Source organism: Homo sapiens, chromosome 9 (assembly GCF_000001405.40).
Source record: "Homo sapiens chromosome 9, GRCh38.p14 Primary Assembly".
Taxonomy (NCBI): Eukaryota; Metazoa; Chordata; class Mammalia; order Primates; family Hominidae; genus Homo; species Homo sapiens.
In genome coordinates this window covers 127,617,468-127,644,885 of record NC_000009.12, presented here as the reverse complement: position 1 = coordinate 127,644,885, position 27,418 = coordinate 127,617,468, and the positions used below count along the sequence as shown (strand labels likewise).

The 27,418-nt window shown below is 45.7% G+C and overlaps 1 protein-coding gene across 12 annotated transcripts in view, besides 1 other annotated feature; it reads right to left on the bottom strand.

Annotated features, from left to right (window-relative positions):
• STXBP1 (syntaxin binding protein 1) overlaps positions 1-27,418 on the bottom strand; it is an 84,118-nt gene that overhangs the window by 51,144 nt on the left and 5,556 nt on the right. For 2 of the 12 annotated variants that reach the window (NM_001374308.2, NM_001374310.2), the window contains exon 2: positions 5,269-5,458. The exons of 7 other annotated variants lie outside the window; for them this stretch is intronic. The gene's annotated coding sequence lies outside the window, so the exon portion shown is untranslated. Of the gene's footprint in view, positions 1-2,315; positions 2,418-5,268; positions 5,459-27,418 lie in introns of all 12 variants that reach the window. 3 more of the 12 variants (NM_001374307.2, NM_001374311.2, NM_001374312.2) reach the window with 2 other exon arrangements.
• Positions 11,147-11,946: an enhancer, noted in NCBI's record as "H3K4me1 hESC enhancer chr9:130395219-130396018 (GRCh37/hg19 assembly coordinates)". NCBI's record gives its function as "activates a minimal SCP1, AML or CMV promoter by ChIP-STARR-seq in naive H9 embryonic stem cells {active_cell/tissue: H9 hESC(naive)}" and the evidence as "EXISTENCE:reporter gene assay evidence [ECO:0000049][PMID:30033119]".

The following is a 27,418-nucleotide window of genomic DNA, read 5'->3' as shown; positions in this document are numbered from 1 at the left end:
ATGTCCTGAGAAAAATGGCCGGTGGTCTAAGATGATCTGGGACATCTTCAAATGCACCCAATATTTCAACTGGAGTCCCAAAACACAGGCTCCAGGGATCGCTACAGGGACTGCTCAAGGCTTGCAGCTCCCTATGAAGCCCCACCCTCACAGCCCAGGAGGGACTCACAACTGCCCTCCACAGTGACATATGCCAGATGCCCGATGCCCTGAGCCCAGGGCACATGCAAACACCTGAAGTAGCGTGACTAATATTAGATGAGCCAGAAGCTTAGGAGAAGTGCAACCAAAGTCAACACCACAGGCGATTCCAAGATTCCACACAGTAGCCCCAGAGCACCACACTGCCCAGGACAGAGGCACCAGGATCCACTTTCCCCAGGTTGGGAGAAGTTGCCTTCATGCTGCTGAGGGAACTAAGAGAGTCCAACCTCAGCCCACAACTCCCTGCCTCTTTTTACCAATCCAGAGTACAGGGAATTTCCAGAGTTATTCTGACTCAACAGTAGACGTTCTTCTAAAAGGCATCCTCTTGACTGAACTCCAGGGGTCTGAGGGGGTAATGCTGGCTGCTCAAGCAGAAATCACCCCCAAAAATGCCCAAGGAAGCGCTAAAGTTAGACCAGGGCTGACATCCAGGTTCAGGCATTTGCTGGCTGTGTGACCTTGGGACTTTTTTTTTTTTTTGAGAAGGAGTCTCCCTCTATCGCCCAGGCTGGAGTGCAATGGCGAGATCTTGACTCACTACAACCTCCACCTCCCGGGTTCAAGTGATTCTCCTGCCTCAGCCTCCCTAGTAGCTGGGACTACAGGCACACGCCATCACGCCCAACTAATTTTTGTGTCTTTTGTAGAGACAGGGTTTCACCATGTTGGCCAGGCTGCCTTCGAACTCCTAACCTCAGGTGATCCACCTACCTCAGCCTCCCAAAGTGCTTGGATTAGGTTACAGGCGTGAGCTATCGAGCTACCGTGCCTTGCCAAGTTTAAAACATTTTAAGTTTCAGTTTTCTCATCTGCAAAATTAAAATTATAATACTCTAATAGCCTGTTGTGAAGATTAATGAGATAAAATGCTTACTTAGTCCAGTGACACGTATGAGGCACTCTGCAAAAGGCACCTCTTGTGACATCACTATAAAAGCATATTATTCATACAAAGGAAGAAGAAAATTATGAAATATAACTTCTACCAATCAAGATTTTTAACATAATGTAAAAATCCTCTTAAAAGGAAACAAATGTGGCCGGGCACAGTGGCTCATGCCTGTAATCCCAGCACTTTGGGAGGCTGAGGTGGGTGGATCACTTGAGGTCAGAAGTTTGAGACCAGCCTGGCCAACATGGTGAAACCCCATCTTTACCAAAAATACAAAAATTAGCCAGGCATGGTGGTGGGTGCCTGTAATCCCAGCTACTTGGGAGGCTGAGGCAGGAGAATCGCTTGAACCTGGGAGGCGGAGTTTGCAGTGAGCCAAGATCACGCCACTGCACTCCAGCCTGGGCAGCAGAGTAAGACTCTGCCTCAAGAAAAAAAAAAAAGGAAACAAATGTTTAAAATAGTTTTTAAATAATCATAAAGATATTCAGATAGCAAACTACATGGATATTTCACCAAAAATTTCAAAACTTCTCTGACCTGCGGTAAACATATGAATACATTTTTGGAATAATGGCACTATAGCACCAATGTATACGAATCCTAAATGAAAATATAAAGTTTGACCTGGGCAACATGGCAAAAACCCGTCTCTAGAAAAAATACAAAAATTAGCTGGGTGTGGTAGCTCGCGCCTGTAGTCCCAGCTACTCAGGAGGCTGAGGCAGGAGGATCCCTTTGAGCCTGAAAGGCAGAGACTACAGTGAGCTAAGATGACGCTGCTGTACCACTCTAGCCTGGGCAAGAGTGAGACCCTGTCTCAAACTAAAAAAAAAAAAAAGAAAGAAAGAAAATATAAAGTTGAACATAAGGACCCCCGTCCCCTTCTGAGAGGGCAGAGAGTGGCCCCTGGCTATCTGTGAGTTAATCTGAAGCACAAGCAGAGGCCGATAGAAAGTCAAAGGCATTTTAGTCACAACAGGGCACACAGGTCTGTATTTTAAAATTGTTATTATTTAACATGTATCCAAAAATTCAGTCAGATTAGAAAATAAAATGAGTTACAATATTAGTAATAATGATATATATCTGCAGAAATCAAAATGATTAGCAACATTAAAACATTTAGTAAGGCAGCAGATAAGAAATAAATACATAAAAATCAAGAGGACTTTTTACACAGCAGCAATAACCAGATTGTAGGAAGAGGGCTCACTCTTTACCAGTTTACACTGGGCTGGGACTCGGCCTCCGAAGGTTCAATCTACTGCTGGAAATTCTGCTCTGGAGCAACATGTCTAGGTAGTCTTCCTCTTTCCTGACAGCAAAGACAGCAACCAAGTTTCTCTGAATGTCTCGTGTGGGGCTGAAGGGTCTCCTTGATAAACAACTGCATTTTCCCAGGTGGAATAAGTTAATGTTCAACAAGATTGCAGGAAATGGTACAAATACTTGAAAACAAGCCTTCCAAGTACTCTCAAGTTTCCTTTCTTGGAAATATCATTTATACACACACTATTGGTAACCTAATTATAAACCACTTTAACTTTTTGCCTTTACGTAGTTCTTTTTTTTCGAGACGGAGTTTCACTCTTGTTGCCCAGGCTGGAGCGCAACGGCATGATCTTGGCTCACTGCAACCTCTGCCTCCCCAGTTCAAGCGATTCTCCTGCCTCAGGATCCCGAGTAGCTGGAATTACAGGCATGTGCCACCACCCCCAGCCTATGTAGTTCTTAATAATAAAAAAGTAGCACATTCTTGTAAAAAAAAATCAAACAATAGATTATATAAATACAGGGTGAAATTTCCCTCCTTCCCCCTACTCTTGCGGGGAAAACAGCCACTAACAGTTTCGGGTGTGCCCTTACAGATCCTTTCCTGGGCACATACACCCAGGTGTGGGGAGGTATGCACATGTACACAGCTCTTTGGTTGGGATATTACACGTATACACATTGTTCTGCAATTACATTTTCTACTCAATATATTATAGACTTTCTCTTGTATCATTTCACACAGACCTACCACATGCTTTCAAACTACATAGCATTCCATAGTATGAACATACAATAATTTGCACAAATCTCCTTAAATGTATTCATAAGACAGTCTCTACATGGAGACCTGCTGATTTATTCCAATCAAATTAGTGAGGACTTTATTGTAAACATAAACACTAACACAGGAGGCTAATAAAATTTTTTGATCTATGTCACCTTGTAGCCTGGGGAGGCAAAGTAATTTTCAACTATTCTTCTTTGGGGCTTGAAAACTTTAATATTGGAAAGAACCTCAGAGATCAGCTAAGGCCAGGTTCCAGGTCCCAGGTCTCAGGTCTCAATTTGGGGATTGAGATACTCCCTGCAGAAGACAGCCATCTGGAGTGGGTAAGCCACTAATTGGTCACTCTAGCATGAGCAACTATTCTCTGGACCCCTGTCCGCATGTTCTTCCCACTGCACATGTCGTCTCTCTGGCTCTAGCATGGGCTAGACTCTGACACTGAACCCAGCTGTCCTTTGTTGTGCTACATTGCTATGATCACCTTGACAGAGTAAAGCAAAGGGATTCAAATGGGTTTTGGAGACAGATGGTTAAAGTTCAACTCCCTGCTTCTCCACTCATTAGCTGTGCCTTTGTGCAAGTTATTAAATCTCTGTGTGTCACAGTTTCTCCATCTGTAAAATGGGAAGGACCGCAAATGTCTCATAGGGGTATCGTGAGGATTAAATAAGTGACTGCCTGTACAGCACTTAGCTTAGTGTTTACAACAGTACTTAACCCTGTTGGCTATCACTGGCCCTATTATCACCTATTTTAAATAATATTTTTACGTTCCTAATAAGGAAGAATCTAGTGATTTATTGTTCCTCCATGGGGTTTGTAATATGTCTCCTGTCTTCTAATTTTTTCTCTGCATACATTTTTTCTCATCTATTCCACAATATTTATTGAACAGCTGCTATGTGGCAGACATCCTTCTAGGCATCAGAAAGACCATGATGAGCAAGCTAAACAAAATGCCTACACTCTGGTGTGGAAGGGAGAGACTGCCTATAAACACAAAGAAATAAACACCATCGCCTCGGAGAGTGATCAGTGCCCAAAGGAAATTTAACAGTTTAATGAACTTGCTGGGGGCTTGGAAGAAGGTCCACCATCTGATAATTCCCCTACTGCTAATTTTTTAACCAGTGTCTGATTGAGATATTACAACCTTAGCCAAAATTTTTTCAAAGCTCTTATAAAGAAAAAACTTGGCGGGCACAGTGGCTCACGCCTGTAATCCCAGCACTTTGGGAGGCCGAGGCGGGCAGATCACAAGGTCTGGAGTTCGAGACCAGCCTGGCCAGCGTGGTGAAACCCTTTACTAAAAATACAAAAATTAGCCAGGCATGGTGGTGTGAGCCTGTAGTCCCAGCTACTCGGGAGGCTGAGGCAGGAGAATCACTTGAACCCGGGAGGCGGAGGTTGCAGTAAGCCAAGGTCGTGCCACTGCACTCCAGCCTGGATGACAGAGTGAGACTCCGTCTCAAAAAAAACAAAAACAAAAAAAAAGAAAAAAGAAAAAAAAGAAAAAGTCAGCCGGGCACAGTGGCTCACATCTATAATCCCAGTACTTTGGGAGACTGAGGCGGGCAGGTCACTTGAGGCCAGGAGCTTGAGACCATCCTGGCCAACATGGTGAAACCCCATATCTACTAAAAATACAAAAATTAGCTGGGTTTGGTGGCAGGTGCCTGTAATCCCAGCTACTAGGGAGGCTGAGGCAGGAAAATTGCTTGAACTTGGGAGGCGGAGGTTGCAGCAAGCCAAGATTGCACCACTGCACTCCAATCTGGGCAACAAAGCAAGACTCCTCAAAATAAAGAAAAAACTCAATCGTTAATTTACTCTCAATAACAAAAAAAATGCCCATAATAATAGCAATATCTGAAACATATTGAAGGTTGACTACATGTGAGAGAGTTCCTCATGTGTTTTACATATATCATCTCATTTAAAGCTCCCAGTAGCCCTCAGAGGTCAAGAATTATAGCACCCTCATTTTACAAAGTAAAACACTGACGCTGAGAGAAACAAAGTATCTAGCAATTGCACAATAAAATGCACATAACCACTTGAAGGCAATAGAGGATACAAGCAACATATAAATCAATGTATTTACCTCAAAGAATTTACAGTCCAGTCTGAGAAAGAAGGAATTACACCTTAAGCGCAGTAAGATAAAAAGGCACTGGACCGTCATGCACTGCTGGTGAGAATGTAAAATGGTACAGCTGATGTGGAAAACAGGCCGGCAGCTCCTCAAATAACCAAACATAGAGATCCAGCAACTCCATTCCTAGGTATATATCCTAAAGACATTAAAACGTATGTTGGCTGGGCGTGGTGGCTCATGCCTGTAATCCCATCACTTTGGGAGGCTGAGGCAGGTGGGTCACCTAAGATCAAGAGTTCAAGATCGGCCTGGCCAACATGGTGAAACCCTGTCTCTACTTAAAATACAAACATTAGCCAGGCATGGTGGCAGGCACCTGTAATCCCAGCTACTCGGGAGCCTGAGGCAAGAGAATTGCTTGAACCCAGAGGGCAGAGGTTGCAATGAGCTGACATAGTGCCACTGCACTCCAGCCTGGGCAACAGAGTGAGACCCTGTCTCAAAAAATAATAATAAATAAATTTTAAAAATAAATAAATAACATATGTCTACACAAACACTTGTACATGAATGTTTCTAGCAGCATTATTCATAATAACCAAAAAGTGGAAACAACTCAAACACCCACTGACGGGTGAATGGGTAAGTGCAGTATATCCACACAATGGAGTATTATTCAGTCATTAAAAAGGAGTGAAGTACAATAAATGTTGTAAGACCAAAGAACCTTTAAAACACACTAAGTAAATGAAGGCAGTCATGGCTGTGCGCGGTGGCTCACGCCTGTAATACCAGCACTTTGGGAGGCCAAGGTGGGCGGATCATGAGGTCAGGACATCGAGACCATCCTGGCTAATGCAGTGAAACCCCATCTCCACTAAAAATACAAAAAGTAGCCAGGCGTGGTGGCGGGCGCCTGTAGTCCCAGCTACTCAGGAGGCTGAGGTAGGAGAATGGTGTGAACCTGAGAGGCGGAGCTTGCAGTGAGCTGAGATTGCACCACTGCACTCCAGCCTGGGCGACAGAGAGAGACTCCGTCTCAAAAAAAGGCAGGCAGTCATAAAGGACCACATATTATGTAACGCCATTTAGATGCAATGTCCAGAACAGGTACAGCCATACAAATTGAAAGGAGATTAGTAGTTGCCTACAGCAGGAGAGATGGGGGGTTTAGGGGTTACATATAAGGAATATGGAGTTTCCTTCTGGGGTAATTGAAAGTGTTCTAAAATTGATTGTGATGATGGACACACTGTTCTATGAATAGACTAAAAGCCATTGAATTATACACTTTAAATGGGTGAATGGTATGGTATGTGAATTATATCCCAATAAAGCTGTTTCTAAAATCATTAGAGAATTTTAGATAAAAAATTAAAATTCAAACTCAAAAAACTGGCTGGGCACAATGGCTGTAATCCCAACACTTTAGGAGGCCAAAGTGGGATCGCTTGAAGCCAGGAGTTAGAGACCAGCCTGGGCAACAAAGCAAGACCCTGTCTCTAGAAAAAATTTTTAAAAACAAAAACAAAACAAATGCAGTTATGCTTAATATAAAACTGTTCCATAGTGCCTTCATTTGAAGACAGTAACTCTATCAACTATTAGTTATCTAGAATAATTTACTATAATTTTATATCTAAATTGTATTTGTGGGAAGTGGGAGAGACCAAAATAGAGATCTCAAATTGTCAGCCACAGGGCAAGCACTGGGTATCACTCCCTGTAACTGTTGAATGACAACTAATTAGCCTGGTTATAATCTGAGAACATCTCTATTTAGGTTTGATTTTTGGGTAATGGGTAGTGAGAAAAAAGGGTGAGGGCTAATTGTTTGGAGTTGTCACAAGCTTTAAAACGTGTAGAGATGGGTTAACAATGATTTGATTACATCGGCCTACTGAGCACACCCAAAGATTGCATAAGACTCAAATGTCCAACGCTGTAACATACAAAACCTGGGTTACTGCCAATATCCGAGAGAGTGCCTGATGATAAATGCCTAGTATCCGAGAAACCAAATCCTAACCTCGGGTCCATAAAGATACTGGGTAGGGTTACAGAAATGACTATTTACTTTCTCTTTCAAGAGAGACTCCCATTTTTTATTTTATATCCCTGTTTTATAAGGTTTGGAGCCAAAAAGTGAAGGAGCCAGAAAATCTCTAAGCAAAGACTCATGAACCTTCAAAGTGATTAGTAAAAAAAAATCTCAGCCATGGCCGGGCGCGGTGGCTCATGCCTGTAATCCCAGCACTCTGGGAGGTGGAGGCGGGTGGATCACCTAAGGTCGGGAGTTCAAGACCAGCCTGACCAACATGGAGAAACCCCATCTCTACTAAAAATACAAAAAATTAGCTGAGCGTGGTGGTGGGTGCCTGTAATCCCAGCTACTCGGGAGGCTGAGGCAGGAGAATCACTTGAACCCGGGAGGTGGAGGTTGCGGTGAGCCGAGATCATGCCGTTGCACTACAGCCTGGGTAACAAGAGTGAAACTCTGTCTCAAAAAATAAATAAATAAATAAATAAAAATAACTTCAGCCAGGCGCAGTGGCTCACACCTGTAATCCCTGCACTTTAGGAGGCCGAGGTGGGTAGATCACCCGAGGTCAGGAGCTTGAGACCAGCCTGACCAATATGGTAAAACTCCGTTTCTACTAAAAAAATACAAAATTAGCCAGGCATGGTAGCTCATGCCTGTAATCCCAGCTACTTGGGAGGCTGAGGCAGGAGAATCACCTGAACCCGGGAGGTTCACCTGAACTGCGGGAGAAGTTCAGGTTCAGGTTCACCTGAACCCGGGAGAATCACCTGAACTGCGGAGGTTGCAGTGAGGCGAGATCACACCACTGCACTCTAGCCTGGGCAACAAGAGCGAAACTCCATCTCCAAAAAAAAAAAATCTCAAACCAGGGCTAGTGGAGATGAAAAATAGGAGTTCCTAAGTATATGTTAGAGGCAGCAGTCACCTCCCCTCAGTTCTAAAGGGAAATTATTTCTTCCTTATGTTGCCTGAAACAACGTTCCTTGGATAAAAGGAGCTGTGACGTTACAAAATACACACAAATGGAAAAATCAATCAAAAGTGGAAATCCAATAATTCATATCTTCTTAAAATCAACAGCTTATTGTCATCAACACTATTGAGTTATGTTGATATTTTGAAGCAAAAATACCAAAGAAAGACAAAAATTGTGAAATAGTAACCTTCCAGGGGAGCAAACACTACTCTCACCACATAAAGCTCTGCTACATAAGGACATCTTTAAAAGAAAGGACTGGAAAATGAGGACCATTTTTATACACCACAGTGATACCAGCATTCAGTTATTTGGGAAGCCTGGGCCAGGCACGGTGGCTCACGTCTGTAATCCCAGCACTTTGGGAGGCCAAAGCGGGCAGATCACTTGAGGTCAGGAGTTCAAGAACAGCCTGGCCAACATGGTGAAACCCCATCTCTACTAAAAATACAAAAAATTAGCTGGGTGTGGTGATGCACGCCTGTAGCCCTAGCTAATGGGGAGGCTGAGACAGGAGAATCACTTTAACCCAGGAGGCGGAGGTTGCAGTGAGCCGAGATCGTGCCATTGCACTCCAGCCTGGGCAACAGAGTGAGACTTCATCTCCAAAAAAAAAAAAAAAAAAAAAAAAAAAGATACATGACTACAGCTGACCAGGAAAAAAAAAGATAGAAAAGACATTGCCCTTATACATTACCAACAGCAGCAGTCCTCATCTGTTAATGCCCACTTGGCCTGTCAACCTGTATCTGTGTCTGTTTTATTGTTTGTTTGTTTGTTTGTTTGTTTGTTTTGAGACGGAGTCTCACTCTGTCGCCCAGGCTGGAGTGCAGTGGCACCATCTCGGCTCACTGTAACCTCCGCCTCCCAGGTTCAAGCAATTCTCCTGTCTCAGCCTCCCAAGTAACTGGGATTACAGGCGCCTGCCACCATGCCCAGCTAATTTCTGTATCTTTAGTAGAGACGGAGTTTCACCATATTGGTCATACTGGTCTCAAACTCCTGACCTCAGGTGATCCACCCGCCTCGGCCTCCCAAAGTACTGGGACTACAGGCATGAGCCACCCGCCCAGCCACATCTGTGTCTCCGAAAAAAGCTTGTGCTCCTACTACAGACTCTGCGATGGCTGCAGGAATTCCTCCTTCAACTGCAGAAACCCAGAATATGTATCTTGATCTTGGCAGGAACCCAAGATGTGGCTAGCATCTTAAATTGGTAGATGCAGCATTTAATGGCTCCAAATCACATCTCTTGGCTTGAATGGGAGTTTCCCTAAGGACTTAAAGATGAGTCTAAAACTAAAGAGAGAGGAAAAGAATGGAGTGTTTCATACAATCCCAGAAACCCAGCAGCAGACAGGAGACATAAGATCACCTAGTCCAGTGGGGCCGGGCACAGTGGCTCACGCCTGTAATCGCAGCACTTTGGGAGGCTGAGGTGGGTGGATCACCTGAGGTCAGGAGTTCGAGACCAGCCTGGCCAACATGGTGAAACCCTGTCTCTACTAAAAATACAAAAAATTAGCCGGGCATGGTAGTATTTGCCTGTAATCTCAGCTGCTCAGAAGGCTGAGGCAGAAGAATCGCTTGAACCAGGGAGGTGGAGGTTGCAGTGAGCTGAGGTCACGCCATTGCACTCCAGCCTGCCTGGGCAACTAGAGCAGAACTCCATCTCAAAAAAAAAAAAAAAAAAAGATCACCTAGTCCAGTGGTTCTCAACAGGGAGTGATTTTGCGCCCCCAAGAGGAAGGTCAGCATTGTCTGGATACATTTTTTATTGTCACGACTAGGGGATGATATGGGAATCTACAAGTAGAGGTCAGGAATGCTGCTAAACATCCCACAAGGCACAAGCTCATCTGGCCCAAAATGTCAATAGTGCCAACACTGAGAAATTCTGATGCAGTCTATCTTATAAAGAAACTGAATCCAGGAGAGATCACATGATTTATCCATGACCATGGTGGTGACAGTCATCCTATTCTTTTCTTTTTTGAAATGAGTCTCACCATGTTGCCCAGGCTGGCCTCAAATACCTGGGCTCAAGCAATCCTCCTGCTTCAGCCTCCTGAGTAGCTGGGACTACAGGTGCATGTCACCAAGTTCAGCTCTGTCTTATTTTCAAGTCCAAGATTCTGACCAGCCCAATCTGTTCTGCTCTAAGATTTAGCCTGCTTCAGGTCTACAGATCTGAGATATTAGGAAATGTTTAGTCCCACACAACATGACAAGGCCATAAGCTCACGCTCCCTCTGGAACCCTCAATTCAGCCATGCTATTGATGTCAAACCCACATAAGACAAAAGCCCCAGGGAAGCTTCCAGAAGGCAGGAAATGCCCCACCCACCCATCCACACACACAAAGGGCCAGTGTTAAGAGGGCTTCCTTTCCCCAACCTGTGGAACTGGCTACAGTAAGATACCAGGAAAAGAAAACATCCTTTTGGGGTTGGGGCCAAAGATCGAGCACGGGAAGGAGGTGGAGCTCCAGGAAGAGAAGACGCGAAAAATCCAAAAGAAACACGGGGAGCACTAATGCTCATGAATATGCAGGCTGCGTGATTTCTCAAGCAATTTCCATATTTTATAGCGAAGATTCTGCTTCTTATGGTGTAAAATTGGTTTATTCATTCTGCAATGCCATGATTTGCTGTTTTTGAATTCCCCTGCTAGGCCATTTTCCACCTCATTCTGTTATCTCACATTACATCACATTTGAGCTCTTGGTTGATCATTTTATGTTAGAATGATAAATGGTTTTCTCTGTGCTGGTCTTCTTTACCTAAATGCTACACTTGTCTTTTCCCGTCATAAAACGTTTACAAAGTTTCCACATGGATCTTTCTTCTTCTTTTCCACTGAAATCATCTAGACCAGAGGCTGTTCTCTCAGATCATCTGTCTACTTGTATCAAAATCACAGGCGGGGCAGTCTCTGACTCCCTTCCCTGTGCCCCTAAGGCATGATTTGAATATTCCCCTCGTGCGTTGGGATGAAGGTCTGTGCTGCCTGCCTTCCGCCAGGCACTGAGTGGGTAGTGGAGAAATGACTGAAGCTTGTCTCTCCACACTGTGTAATTTAGTTAAAAGTTCTATACCAAAGATTGCTCCGGTGAGGATGCCTCCCGGGGTCCCCGAGGGTAAGGATGCCTCCTGGGGTCCAGGAGGGTGAGGATGCCTCCTGGGGTCCGCAAGGGTCAGGATGCCTCCCGGGGTCCGGGCAGGTGAGGATGTCTCCTGGGTCCGGGAGGGTTTATCCAGTCAGAAGGCATGACCTTAGCCTCACCTGATTTCCTGCTTCAAAGTGAGCTGAGGGCTAGTTCAGTATTAAATTCCTGGATTTGTGGTGTTCCAAAACTCTTTCTCTTAGGAGACTCTATTTCCTCTCAGTGAGAAAGAAAAACAAGTGGCCAAAAGAGCCAGAGGCTCTGCTGTGTTAAGAAACTCAGGGCTGGGCGCAGTGGCTCATGCCTGTAATCCCAGCACTTTGGGAGGCCAAGGCAGGCAGATCACCTGAGGTCGAGAGTTCAAGACTAGCCTGACCAACATGGAGAAACCCCGTCTCTACTAAAAATACAAAAATTAGCCATGCATGGTGGCTTATGCCTGTAATCCCAGCTACTCACGAGGCTGAGGCAGGAGAATCGCTTGAACCCGGAAGGCGGAGGTTGCAGTGAGCCAAGACTGCACCATTGCACTCCAGCATGGGCAACAAGAACGAAACTCCGTCTCAAAAAAGAAAGAAACTCGGGCGTGGTGGTCCCCAGTCTCTGGCTGGTGGCTACTCCCCTCCTTCCTTCCTGGAATGCAGTTATTACAAATGATAAAGTTGTGTTTTTACATTCTGAGTCTGTCGCCTTATTTTCTACAATAGATGCGTTGTAACTGACTTAGTAGGCCCATGAAAGCGGAATCCTTATCTGGTGGTAGGGAGCAGTGAAAACCAACCAAATGTACACAGCAGAATCCTCAAAAGTTTCAGGAACTGGCAGCACCAGCTGCCTCTGGAACTTAAAAGAATAGGAGGGGTGGCTGGGCGCAGTGGCTCAAGCCTGTAATCCCAGCACTTTGGGAAGCCTAGGCGGGCGGATCACGAGGTCAGGAGATCGAGACCAACCTGGCTAACACAGTGAAACCCTGTCTCTACTAAAAATACAAAAGAATTAGCTGGGCATGGTGGTGGGCGCCTGTAGTCCCAGCTAGTCGGGAGGCTGAGGCAGGAGAATGGCGTGAACCTGGGAGGCGGAGCTTGCAGTGAGTTGAGATCATGCTACTGTGCTCCAGCCTGGGCAACAGATCAAGACTCTGTCTCAAAAAAAAAAAAAAAAAAAAGAATAAGAGGGGCATAAAGCTTGTTGAGAACCCACTGTCAGCTCATCTCATCCAGTCAGTTCCCAGAATTCTGGTAGCCAGACCTTTATCTCCCAGACAGCAGACAAAAGAAGACCTTTCTGGGGAATCAGAGACCAAGAAGAAAAATCTAAATATGCTGACACCGGGAGTTCCCCAACAAACAGCCTATCCAGGTCAGGCCCATCCACAGGGTGAGAGCTCCCAATCAGTTTGTTTTTGTTTTTGTATTGAGACAGGGTCTCACTCTGTTGCCCAAGCTGGAGTGCAGTGTTGTGATCTCAGCTCACTGCAACCTCTGCCTCCTGGGTTCAAGCTATTTTCACGCCTCAGCCTCCCGAGTAGCTGGGATTACAGGTGCCCACCACCACACCCAGCTAATTTTTTGTATTTTTAGTAGAGACAGGGTTTCAACATGTTGACCAGGCTGGTCTTGAACTCCTGGCCTCAGATGATCAGCCCACTTTGGCCTCCCAAAGCACTGGGATTACAGGTGTGAGCCACCGCACCTGGCCTCGTGACTTTTTTTAAGGGATCTTCTTGCTAGTCAATTAGTGATTATTGAGGAATGAGCCAGAGTCACCCCCCAGGGTAATCCACCCTAAGATTATCTAAGGGAAAGCAAACTGAAAAACATTCTGAGTAGTCAAGTAATAGCCTCATCCTAAAATCCTGAAGCAGCACTTTGACCCCCAATACAAGGAGGTCTGCAGATTAAGTGATTTTTAAGGGCTATGCCTCACTGTAGTCTATTGTTTAAAGCCTGTAGTGTGAAATTCTCCCAGAGCGAAGGGTGACTCTTGCTTACCACCAGTGTTTTGTTTTCTTCAAGTCCTTAGCAAATAGAACCATCAATACCAATGTGTCCAGAGACTGGGCAGGGGGCTCCTCTCCAATGCTATCCTGACCACACCAATGCTCAGAAGAAACTGACAGAAGAGATAAGTGGGGTTTGGTTCACCTTGTCGTACCCAGTATGGGGGCTCCAAAAACAGTTTAAGCCTAAATTTTCTTCCTTTTTCCTCCCTTCACTGCCAAAATGAAGCAGCTTTGTTCCTACTGCCATAAAGGAGGCTCACGAGGCTCAACTGCGACTGGATTAGAACCAACTAGAGTCCAGAGCCACAGCCTTTCTGCCTCCACACACTCTTCATGGTTTATACTTGCCATTGTGACTCTACACTGGTGTGGAACATGAAGATAATACTGTATCCCCAGCAGCCACAGAGAAGAAAAAAATTGGCCAATGTGATCAAGCTAATAGACTAGCACAATCTGACTTCCTACTCTGGGTCACGGTCTGGACTAGATTCTTCTAAGATCCTTTCCAGAGCCAAGATTCTACAATTTGATGCCATCTTTTTTTTTTTTTGAAATGATGTATGAGTCCATTCTCATGCTGCTATGAAGAAATACCTGAGACTGGGTAACTGACAAAGAAAAGAGGTTTCATTGACTCACAGTTCCGCATGGCTGGGGAGGCCTCAGGAAACTTACAATCGTGGCAGAAGACACCTCTTCACAGGGCAGCAGGAGAGAGAATGAGTGCCAGCAGGAAAAATGCAAGACGCTTATAAAACCTTTGGACTCATTCATTATCTGAGAATAGTATGAGGGAAACTGCCCCCATGATTCAATTACCTCTACCTGGTCTTGTCCTTGACATGTAGGGATTAGGCGGATTACAATTCAAGATGAGATTTGGGTGGGGACACAGAACAAAACCACAGCAGACAGGGTCTTGCTCTGCACCCCAAGATGGAGTGCAGTGGTGTGTCATGGCTCACTGCAACCTTGACCTCCTTGGCTCAAGTGATCCTCCCAGTTTAGCCTCCTGAGTAGCTGGGACTACAGGCGTGTGCCACCATGTCTGGCTAGTTTTCGTACTTTATTTATTTATTTATTTATTGGTAGAGACAGGGTCTCGCCACATTGCTCAGGCTGGTCTTGAACTCCTGGGCTCAAGCGATCCACCCACCTCGGCCTCCCAATGTGCTGGGATTACAGGCATAAGCCACCACACTCAGCCAATCTGATGCCATTTTAACACAGCATAAAGCCCAAATGCTCAGAGTTTTGCACGTCGACTAACTATAACCATTTCCTCATTTCCTCCTTAAAACAATCCTGAGCAAGGAAGTTAACACAGGCAAGTGTTGTCTAAAACACAGGGGCAACACCACAGACAGGCAAACTCCTGAGAAGTTTCCAGCGGCCAAGCCTCCCAGCCTAGAGAGTGGGGGCTGTTCCTAAACTGGAGCCTCCTGGTGGCTGGCTCAGCTTGCACTGGCTCAGTTTGAGGTTGGGTCCCATGAGTCACAAAATCATAAGACACTGCTGTGAGCCTCACCTTTCCCCTCCGACACTCAGGCCTGCTGGCTGCTCTCCCTGGGCCTGTCCTGTAAATGCCAGTGTCCCACGGGGTGAGATCCCAGCCCTCTTCTCCCACTCTCCTGTGCATCTGACCTGCCCACACTCTGGCACCGGGTGACTGCCAATCTCAAGCATGTCTGCCTGCTCCCATTAGCATCCCCCGCAGGTGGTCCACAGGACCTGAAGCCTGTGCCTACAAAACCTCATCTTCCCCCACAAACCTGTCTCTTCTCCGCCTTTCATCTCTCAATGCACAGCATGACCTTCCAACTGGCCGCCCGAGCCAGAAAACTGGGATTCATTTCTGACTCTTCCTCTCCTCTTCCTGCACAGCCATCACCATGACCTGACCCTTCTGCATCCTAAGATGCCTTCAAGTTGGGGTCCCCCTCCCAACACTGCTGCTCTCTCCCTGGCATAAATCACCATCCTCGCCATCACATCCCCAGCTAGGACCAGCACCACAGCCTCTTCCCTCCCACTGCCTCCCGCCCACTCTCCACACAGCAACCAGATAGCATTTTGAACTCAATTCTAACCATGCCTCTCCCCAACTCAAAACCTTCAGTAGCTTCCCACAGCTGCTGGAATAGAGAGATAAACGACCTTACCAAGGCTAAGCAGGCCCTGGCAACTCTCCGACTGCTCTCCACACACTCCCCACAGCTCCAGCCAGCCACAGCCTTTCTCATTTTCTTGCCAAGCTTAGACCTTCCTCTCCCCCAGGCCCCACGGACCCCATCTCCTGCCTGGCTAATTCCTCATCCTGCAGGTCTCACTCTGCCCCGCTCATGCCCAGGCCTTCCTGGGGGCTTCCCACATGCTTCAGCATTACCTATATTGCCCTGTCAGGGCACATTCCTGCTGCGTCACCACTGTCTGTCTAAATCCCACAAGGACCCGGTCTACTTACACACTACTATCTCTGCTGCCCATGCAGCACAGCTCCTGGCATGTAGAGACAGCGCAAATATTGGTTGGATGAATGAAAACACTTGGTCCCAGACCCTGCTGAGCCATGCTGAAATGAACACAGACTATAATTTATGGTCCTGGAGTTCTCTAACATCTCAGAAGGACACCAAATAAGGGGTGGCTACTGGAGACTCAGATTCAAATCTGCATGAATTTGAATTCACACATCCAGGCTCCAAAGATTTTTTTTTAATTTTGTTTGTTTTTCTCCACTTTTCTTTATCTCCCTCTAAATTTTTTTCTTTCCAAGAATAAAACAGGTTTTCCTACTGTAATAAATACTTAATATCTCATTCACTTCCAATAAGGTTTGCTCGTAGACTAAATAATTAGTAGACATCAGTGAAAGGTAGAGGTTGGGTGTAGTGGCTAACACCTATAATCCCAGCACTTTGGGGGGCCAAAGCGGGAGGACCATATGAGATCAGGAGTTTGAGACCAGCCTGGCCAACATAGTGAAATCCCGTCGTGACTGAAAATACGAAAATTAGCCAGGCGTTTCACTGCACGTTCAATAAGCCCTTTTTGGATACTAGGTGGCAGGCACCTGTAATCCCAGCTACTCAGAAGGCTGAGGCAGGAAAATCACTTGCACCCCGACCCCAAAGGCGGAGGTTACAGTGAGCCAGGATTGCTCCACTGCATTGCAGCCTGGGTGACAGAGCAAGACTCTATCTCACAAGAAAAAAATAAATAAATAAAATAAAGTGACAGATAGAGATGGGTGGATGTTGAAAAGAAAAAAGTTAAAGATCAGGGCAGGTGCTGTGGCACGTGCCTATAATCCCAGCACTTTGAGAGGCTGAGGTGGGAATGCTGCTTGAGCTTGGAAGTTCAAGATCATCCTGGGTGACATGGTGAAACCCCATCTATACAAAAAATACACAAATACAAAAAAAAAAGAAAAGAAAAGAAAAGAAAAATCTGCCAGGCATGGTGATGCATGCCTGTAGTCCCAACTACTTGGGAGGCTGAGGTGGGAGCATGGCTTGAGCCTGGGAGGTTGAGGCTGCAGTGAGCCAAGGTTATGCTACTGCACTCCAGCCTGAGCAACAGAGTGAGACTCCATCTCAAAAAAAAACAAACAAAAAAACAAAAACAAACAAACAAACAAAAAACCAAAAAAGGTCAGGCACGGTGGCTCTCATGCCTGTGATCTCAGCACTTTGGGAAGCCAAGGTGGGTAGACTGCTTGAGCCCAAGAGTCCAAAACCAGCCTGGACAACATGTATTTTCTCTACAGAAAATACAAAAATCAGCCAGGTGTGGTTGCACACACCTGTAGTCCCAGCTGGAATCGCTTGAGCCCAGGAGATCAAAGCTGCAGTGAGCTGTGATTGTGCCACTCTACTCCAGCCTGGGAGACAGAGCCAGACCCTATCTCCCACCACCACCCCTCCCTCCAAAACAAATAAAAAAGAAAAAAGACATGGAAAAAGGTAAGTAAACCTCATACTTGCTGAAAGGAAAACAGAGTCTCAGTCACCTCACTCTAACTTTAGCTCTTGCAACAGCCTCGCAGAGAAGCAACTAATTGAGGCAATTAAAGAGGATCATACTGGGGATTCCCAAAGCACTTCCTGTACAGGCGAGCACAGGACCAGGACTCAAAATTTATGGCTGTTACATTGCCAGTGATAACTATAAAATTTGGCCTGACCACTCCACTAAAGATATTTCATTAGCTTTCAAGCACCTGTTTGTCTCAGAGGTGCTGTGCGCCAAAAAAGCCAGAGGGAAAACCTTTCACTGCACGTTCAATAAGCCCTTCTTGGATACTAGAGGCAGATACGTGCTCTCTTACATTTGATGATGATGCCTGAGTCCCAAACCACCTCTTAGGGAAATTTTGCCACAATTTAAACTACTTATCACCAGTTATGAGAGTGACATCCACTTCAAAACAAAGGACTATATTTAGAAGTAAATGGCAATAGCCAGGCACGGTGGCACACAAATATAGTCCCAGCTACTCAGGGGGCTTGAGCCCAGAAGGTCAAGGCTGCAGTGAGCTATGGATCATGCCACTGTACTCCAGCCTGGGTGACAGACTGAGACCTTGTCTCTAAAATAACAAAATAATAATTTTTTAAAAAAAGAAATGGCAAAAATATTGGATATTAAAAACTATGAAGCAGGACTGAGCGCAGCGGCTCACACCTGTAATCCCAGCACTTTGGGAGACCGAGGCGGGTGGATCACTTGAGGTCAGGAGTTCGAGACTAGCCTGACCAACATGGTGAAACCCCGTCTCTACTAAAAATATAAAAGTTAGCCAGGCATGGTGGTGCATGCCTGCAATCCCAGCTACTCGGGAGGCTGAGGCAAAAGAATTGCTTGAACCCGGAAGATGGATTTGCAGTGAGCTAAGATCATGCCACTGCACTCCAACCTGGGCAACAGAGAGAGACTCTGTCTGAAAAATAAATAAATAAAAATAAAAATAAAAACTATGGAGCAGGGGAAAAAAACCTATGGGATTCAACCAAAGCTGTACTCAGATGAAAATTCATATCCTTAGATGCTTTTAGTAGAAAACAAAGAAAAATTAATAAATTATCCCAGCATTTTATTCAATAAATTAGAATAGCTACACACAATATAGAAGAAACTGATTTTGGTGGGGTGCGGTGGCTAATGTTTGTAATCCCAGCACTTTGGGAAGCTGAGGCAGGCGGATCACGAGGTCAGGAGATCGAGACTATCCTGGCTAACATGATGAAACCCCATCTCTACTAAAAATACAAAAAATTAGCCGGGTGTCGTGGCACGTGCCTATAGTCCCAGCTGCTTGGGAGGCTGAAGCAGGAGAATCGCTTGAACCTGGGAGGCAGCGGTTGCAGTGAGCCAAGACTGTGCCATTGCATTCTAGCCTGGGAGACAGAGCGAGGCTCTGTCTCAAAAAATAAAAAAGTGATTTTTTTTTAAAGGAAAGTAAAATAAGTAAGTTTCCAGCAAGTATTTCCATGAAAATAATACACAAACAGGATAGAATGAGAAAGGGGATCACAACTACAGTTGTAGAATGTATATTTTTTTGTTTGTTTGTTTTGGTTGGTTGGTTTGTTTTTTTGAGACAGAATCTCGCTCTGTCACCCAGGCTGGAGTGTAGTGGCGCGATCTCAGCCCACTGCAACCTCCGCCTCCCAGGTTCAAGCGATTCTCCTGCCTCAGCCTCCCGAGTAGCTGGGATTACAGGCGCTCACCACCATGTCGGGCTAATTTTTGTATTTTTAATAGAGACGGGGTTTCACCATGTTGGTCAGGCTGGTCTCAAACTCCTGACCTCGTGATCTGCCCACCTCAGCCTCCCAAAGTGCTGAGATTACAGGTGTGAGCCACCGTGTCTGGCCTATGTCTTTTTAGATAATTCATTTAAAATTTAAAAATCACTATTGTTGAGTGGTCCGATTGTGTCTTCGTTTCCAGTTTATTAATTAAAAGTGTCATACTTTTAGAACTTCTATTTTTTAAAAGGATTCTAATATAGCTTGCTCATCCTGGGAATGTCCCCATTCTTCAAGATCTGGTTAATACTGTTTTTCCCAACAAGATATTTTTCTCTTTCCTATCTGGAATAGAAATTTCTCCTTTAGGCCAGCTGCAGTGGCTCACGCCTGTAATCCCAGCACTTCGGGAGGCCGAGGCAGGCGGATCATCTGAGGTCAGGAGTTTGAGTCCAGCCTGGCCAACATGGGGAAACCCTGTCTCTACTAAAAATACAAAAATAAGCCGGGCATGGTGACACGTGCCTGTAATCCCAGGTACTCGGGAGGCTGAGGCAGAAGAATTGCTTGAACCTGGGAGGCGGAGGTTGCAGTGAGCCGAGATCATGCTACTGCACTCCAGCCTGGGTGATAGAGCAAGACTCTGTCTCAAAAAAAATATCAAATCAAATCAAATAAATTTCTCCTTTCACTCTTTAGACGCCATTCAGTTTTTTTTTGTTGTTGTTGTTATTGTTGAGGCGGAGTCTCGCTCGCTGCCCAGGCTGGAGTGCAGTGGCGTGATCTCGACTCACTGCAAGCTCTGCCTCCCGGGTTCCCGCCATTCTCCTGCCTCAGCCTCCCAAGTAGCTGGGACTACAGGTGCCCACGACCACGCCTGGCTAATTTTGTTTTGTATTTTTAGTAGAGACGGGGTTTCACCGTGTTAGCCAGGATGGTCTCAATCTCCTGACCTCGTGATCTGCCCGCATCCGCCTCCCAAAGTGCTGGGATTACAGATGTGAGCCACTGCACCCGGCCTCAGTTCTTTATTATGGCACTTTCTGCATTCTGCATTAGGTTATAGGGGTTTTTTTTGGTTTTTGTGTTTTTTTGAGACAAAGTCTTGCTCTGTTGCCCAGGCTAGAGTGCAGTGGTGCGATCTCAGCTCACTGCAACCTCTGCCTCCCGGGTTCAAGCAATTCTCGTGTCTCAGCCACCCAAGTAGCTGGGATTACAGGCATGTGCCACCATGCCCTGCAAATTTTTGTATTTTTAGTAGAGATGGGGTTTTGCCATGTTGGCCAGGCTGGTCTTGAACTCCTGACCTCAAGTGATCCACTCGCCTTGGCCTCCCAAAGTACTGGGATTACAAGCATGAGCCACCATGCCCGGCCTGTTATAGTTATTTGTTAAAAGTTTGTGTGTGTGTGTGTGTGCACGCGTGTGTGTGTGACAGCGTCTTGCTCTGTCGCCCAGGCTGGAGTACAGTGGCACAACCTAGGCTCAAGCAACCTCCACTTCCCAGGCTCAAGCAATCCTCCCACCTCAGCCTCCCAAGTAGCTGGGACCACAGGTGTGCACCAACATGCCTGGCTAATATATATATATATATATATATATATATATATATATATATATATATATTATTTTTTTTTTTTCCGTACAGATGGGGTTTTGCCATGTTGCCCAGGCTGGTCTCAAACTCCTAGACTCAAAACAGTCGCCCACACTGGCCTCCCAAAGTGCTGGGATTACAGGCGTGAGCTACCACACCTGGTCAAAAGTTTTGCTTCCTTGTTAAATAATACGTCATAAGTTCTTTGAAGGCAGGGACTGTGTCCTCTTTCTTTTGCCATTCCCCATAGTGCCTAGAATAGTTATAGATGGCAGGCAGGCAACAAATAGCTCTGTGGAATTAAATTGCATATGTATGGCATCTTCTCAGGTCCCAGACTGTTACAGGTCTTTCCCAAATTTCTCAACATTATGTATTCTTGAACCCAAAGTTGATATCCTGATGGTACACATCAGTTTGGCTGATACTAAAATAGTGGAAGTCTTCCATACGGGTTGGTATGTAGTTGCTGCCTTGAGCCCCTCATCTCCCTGCTGTGGGGTCCTTTTTCCTGGGACCTGTTGGCTATTCCCATAACTCAGCAGCCAAGAAAGCAATGCTGGCACAACCCAAGTCACCAAGGTTTTACTCCTGTGTAACAGCAACATCTGTTTGGATGAGTATTTTGTATTTTAAAGTCACTTTTGCCTTTAGTTTAGTTTTTTGTTTGTTGTTGTTTTGTTTTGTTTTTGAGACAGTCTTGCTCTGTCACTCAGGCTGGACTGCAGTGGTGCAATCTTGACTCCATGCAACCTCTGCCTCCCGGCTTCAAGTGACTCTCCTACCTCAGCCTCCCGAGTAGCTGGGACTACAGCCACGTGCCACCATGCCCAGCTAATTTTTGTATTTTTAGTAGAGACAGAGTTTCACCATGGTGGCCCGGATGGTCTCCATCTCCTGACCTCAGATGATCAGCCTGTCTCAGCCTCCCAAAGTGCTCGGATTATAAGCATGAGCCACCGCACTCAGCCTCACCTTTGCTTTTATACCTATTCTACCTTCCTACATTGTTCCTAGGAAAATTGTTTTCTTTTTTCTTCCAAAACCACATTTAGGATATTTTCTTAAGATAATAGGCCAAGCATAGTGTCTCACACCTGTAATCCCAGCAATTTGGGAGGCTGAGGCAGGAGGATCCCTTGAGCCCAGGAGTTTGAGACTAGCCTGGGCAACACAGCGAGAACCCATCTCTAAAAAAAATACAAAAATTGCCAGATGTGGTGGTGTGTGCCTATTGTCCCAGCTGCTTGAGAGGCTGAAATGGGAGGATCACCTGAGCCTAGGAGGTTGAGGCTGCAGTGAGCCATAACTGTGCCACTGTACTCCAGTCTAGGTGACAGAGTGAGACTCTGTCTCAAAAAAAAAAAAAAAAAATCCTAGTAAATCTGTTATCAGATAGGGATGATTTCTTTCCCCCTAAACTGTCTCAGTTGCATGGAGAAACTGTGACATGGACAGGTCACCCACAGAATTGTATTTAACTTTGAAGTAAAACAAATGCTCATATTTAAGCAACCTCCTCCCTGGAGACCCAGGCCATGCAATTAAATATTGAAGTCCTCTGTCTCAATGTAAATGTTTCCAACTGACACTCTTTTAAAAGGACTTCCTTGATGATGTGCATTTAAGCGATACTACAGGGAAAAGTTCAGGACAAATGTGTCAACTGGGCTAATAGCTTACCTTTCAAGTTAGCTTGCTCTCTCTTTTTTTTTTTAAACATCTGAAAGCTTACTATTCAGATGTAATTCACATAAGCTTTGCCATTTTACGTTATTTACTTTTTTGAGACAGGGTCTCGCTCTGTCACTCAGGATGGAGTGCAGTGGCATGATCTTGGCTCCCTGTAGCTGGTCAGAACACTTTCATCACCCGACAAGAAGCCCCGTACCTGCTAGCGATCCCTCCCCATTCTGCCCTCCCCCAGCCCCTGGCAACCACTAATCTACCTTCTGTCTTTGGGTTTGCCAACTCTGAACACTTCATATAAATGGGAGCATCCACTATGTGGCCTTTGTATCTGGCTTCTTTCACTTAGTGTCATGTTTTCTTTCTTTCTTTCTTTTTTTTTCTGAGACCAAGTCTTGCTCTTGTCACCCAGGCTGGAGTGCAATTGCACAACCTTGGCTCACTGCAATCTCCACCTCCTGGGTTCAAGCAATTCTCCTGCCTCAGCCTCCTGAGTAGCTGGGATTACAGGCACCCACCACTGCGCCCAGCTAAGTTTTGTATTTTCAGTAGAGACAGGGTTTCACCATGTTGGCCAGGCTGGTCGAGAACTCCTGACCTCAGGTGATCCACCTGCCTTGGCCTCCCAAAGTGCTCGGATTACAGGCAGGAGCCACCGCGCCCGGCCATCATCGTGTTTTCAAGGTTCATCTGTGTTGTAGCCTATGTGAGTGCTTCATGCCTATGTCAGTGCTTCATTCCTTCTTTTGGCTGAGTAATATTTCATCGTATGAATAGGCCACATTTTGCTCATCTACTAATCACTTGATAGGCATTTGAGTTGTTTGGCTGTTATGAATAATGCTGCTGCGACATTTGTATATGAGTTTGGTGTGGATGTATACTGTCATTTCTTTTGATTATATACACTGGAGTGGTATTGCTGAGTCAGATGGTAACTCTATGTGTAACTTTTTTTTTTTTTTTTTTTTTTTTTGAGATGGAGTTTCGCTCTTGTTGCCCAGGCTGGAGTGCAATGGCACAATCTCTGCTCACTGCAACCTCCAACTCCCAGGTTCAAGCGATTCTCCTGCCTCAGCCTCCCAAGTAACTGAGATTACAGGCATGCACCACCATGCCCGGCTAATATATTGTATTTTTAGTAGAGATAGGGTTTCGCCATGTTGGTCAGGCTGGTCTCAAACTCCTGACCTCACGTGATTTGCCCGCTTCGGCCTCCCAAAGTGCTGGGATTACAGGTGTGGGCCACAGTGCCTGTCCCTCTATGTGTAACTTTTTGAGGCACTGCCAAATAGTTACCTCTTTTTTTTTTTTTTTTTTGAGATGGAGTTTCTCTCTTGTCACCCAGGCTAGAGTGCAATGGCATGATCTCTGCTCACTGCAATCTCCCCCTCCTGGGTTCAAGCAATTCTCCTGCCTCAACCTCCTGAGTAGCTGGGATTACAGGTGTGTGCCACCATGCCTGGCTAATTTTAGTATTATTAGTAGAGACAGGGTTTCACCATGTCGGCCAGGCTGGTCTCGAACTCCTGACCTCAGGTGATCCACCTGCCTCGGCCTCCCAAAGTCCTGGGATTACAGGCATGAGCCACCACGCCCAGCCTAAAGTTACCTTTTTTTTGTTTGTTTGTTTTGAAACAGAGTCTCACTCTGTCTCCCAGGCTGGAGTGCAGTAGGATGATCTTGGCTCACTGCAGCCTTGACTTCCTGGGCTCAAGCAATCCTCCTGAGTAGCTGGGACTACAGATCGGGGACACTATGCCTGGTTAAATTTTTTTTTTTTTTTTTGAGACAGAGTCTCACTCTGTTGCCCAGGCTGGAGTGCAGTGGTACCATCTCAGCTCACTGCAACCTCTGCCTCCCGGGTTCAAGCAATTCTCCTGCCTCAGCCTCCCAAGTAGCTGGAATTACAGATGTGTGCCACCACACCCAGCTAATTTTTGTATTATTAGTAGAGACGGGGTTTCACCATGTCAGCCAGGCTGTTCTCAACTCCTGACCTCAGGTGATCCACCCTCCTCAGCCTCCCAAAGTGCTGGGATTACAGGCGTGAGCCACCGCACCCGGCCGGCTAATTTCTAAATTTTTTGTAGAGACGAGGTCTCACTATATTGCCCAGGCTGGTTTTGAACTCCTGGGCTCAAGTGAATCTCCCACCTTGGCCTCCCAAAGTGCTGGAATTATAGGCGTGAGCCACTGTGCCTGGCCTAAGTTATCTCTTTTTACAAGTCAAATTTCTCCTGTACTTAAGGTCAAGCAGGATTTGCAGTACATTAAATAATTAGTAGAGGGAAAGTGCAAGTTTCAGTGTCTTGTTGGCAGAGTTGTGACTTACCCAGTGTCACCCATGAGTCAGGGGCAGAACCCGGAATAGAATCCGGAGGACCTGTCTGCCACTTGGATCCTGTACATTTTTGGAAAAATTTAGGGAAAAAAGATTTTCAAGTATCAAAAACCAAGGAAGAGAGGTTAAGAATACAGGCTCTAGGTAATCTTAGCACTTTGGGAGGCTGAGACGGGAGGGTCACTTGAGCTCAGGAGTTCAAGACAAGCCTGGGCAACATAGTGAGTCCTCATCTCTACTAAAAATTTTTCTAAAAATTGGCCAGGTGCGGTGGCTCACGCCTGTAATCCCAGCACTTTTGGAGGCCAAGGCAGGTGGATCACAAGGTCAAGAGATCAAGATCATCCTGACCAATATGGTGAAACCCCATCTCTACTAAAAATACAAAAAATTAGCTGGGCGTAGTGGCACATGCCTGTAGTCCCAGCTACTCATGAGGCTGAGGCAAGAGAATTGCTTGAACCCGGGAGGCGGAGGTTGCAGTGAGCCAAGATCGCACCACTGCACTCTAGCCTGGTGACAGAGCGAGGTTTCGTCTTGAAGAAAAAAAAATTTTTTTTTAATTAACTGAGCATGGTGGTGCATGCCTGTAGTCCCAGCTACTTGGGATGCTGAGACAAGAGGATTGCTTGAGCCCAGGAGGTTGAGGTTGCAGTGAGCTATGATTGCGCCGCTGTGCTCCAGCCTGGGCAACAGAAACCTGTCTCTGGGAAAAAGAAAAAAAAAAGAAGTACAGGCTCTGCAGCCTGTGAGCCAGAATCCAAATCTGAGAAGACAGGTGTTGAGATTAAGACTGATGCTGCAGCCAAACTACCAGGGTCCAAATCCTGCATCTGCCTCTTCTCACCTATGGGACCTAGCGCACATTCCTCACCTGACTTCAATGTTCTCATCCATAAAGCGCAGGGAATACACCTCTCTTACAGGGTAACTATAGACATTCAACAAGTTAGCATACACAAAGCACTTAGTTTAGTGTTTAGCACTTGTTGATGTGATGTAAATGTTAGTTACTAAAACATTATAACAACAGTGCTGGGGCGGTGGCTCACGTCTGTAATTCCAGCGCTTTGGGAGGCCAAGGTGGGTGGATCATTTGAGGTCAGGAGTTCAAGACCAGCCTCGCCAACATGGCAAAACCCCGTCTAAAATACATATATATATACAAAAATTAGCCAGCCGTGGTGGCACACGCCTGTAATCCCAGCTACTCGGGAGGCAGAGGCAGAAGAATCACTTGAACCCGGGAGGCGGAGATTGCAGTGAGCCAAGATAGTGCCACTGCACTCCAGCCTGGGAGACAGAGCAAGACTCTGTCTCAAAATAATACATACATACATACAAACATTATAACGACAAATTGATAACCTTGTGGAATTATCCTAAACTCTCTCAGCCTCTGTTTCCTTAGAGTAAAAGAAGACTAATGAGAGTAACTCATGGGATCTTTTTGAGGATTAAATGACAACATACGACATGCCTAGGACAGTGTCTGGCACCTAATAAGTGATCAATAGATTTAGTTTTTATTATTACAGTTTTACTCGAAGCAAAGCAATAATTTTTAGATTTAGATTCAAAGTTCAGACCAATTGATCATAATCTATAACCTGATAAATACTGAAGCCACTTCATAAGAGAGACTGAATTGACTTGGAAAGTGCAACTTTCAACGCTTTGTCAGTGTATTTATTCGGGGGGGTGGGGATTAGTGAGGGAGGTTGAGGAAAAAGAGGAGTATCTGTCTTTCATAGACTGAGTCTGACACCTCTGATCTCTCCTGCTTTCCACTTATAATTTGGCCCTAGAAGAGCTAAGTGGATGATGCCTGAACTCACCTCTCGGGCTGCTGAGTGCAGTGAGAGGGTAAGAGGAGTTCACAGTCCTTAGACAAAGCCTCCTTCTACTCACTTCATCCCCTGGCAGAGAAAAGCAGGGGTGAGGGAACCTTAGAATTCAATCATCAGGGGAAAATGTTGGAGGGGTGGCTATAGAGGGGATGATGAGAAAATGTGTTTCTTGACCAGTGATTCAGAATTTTTATGACTAGCTTTGGCTAGTTACATTATTAGAAAGTATACGGTCTGAAGCAGAGAGCTTCTGCTTGCCTGGAACATTAGGATGTCCAGCTTGTTCTAATACCAACCCACAATGATCCCAAATGGACAGGAATGTTTATAACTATTTTTGTCAGCAGCAGTTCTTCAGTCCCGGAGTCTGGGCCTTTTGTGTGTCTCCCTGGTGCTCCGGGATTGATGGCTTTCCTCCTACCCACTCTTCTAGTGGGTTACACAGGGCATCGAGGGGCAAGGGGACTGGTCTAATGAAGAGCTCAGCCTTTTGGAGCCAGAGAAGCCCGAGTTTGAATTCCAGCCTTACTACTTGTGTGCACTGTTAAGTGACTTTATCTGTACCTGAATTTCCTCATCTCTAAAATGGGGACAGTTATATCTACTTAGGACATTTAGCGTTAAGAATAGTATATTTGGCTGGGCGCAGTGGCTCACGCCTGTAATCCCAACACTTTGGAAGGCCGGACTGCCTGAGCTCAGGAGTTCAAGACCAGTCTGGTCAACAAGGTG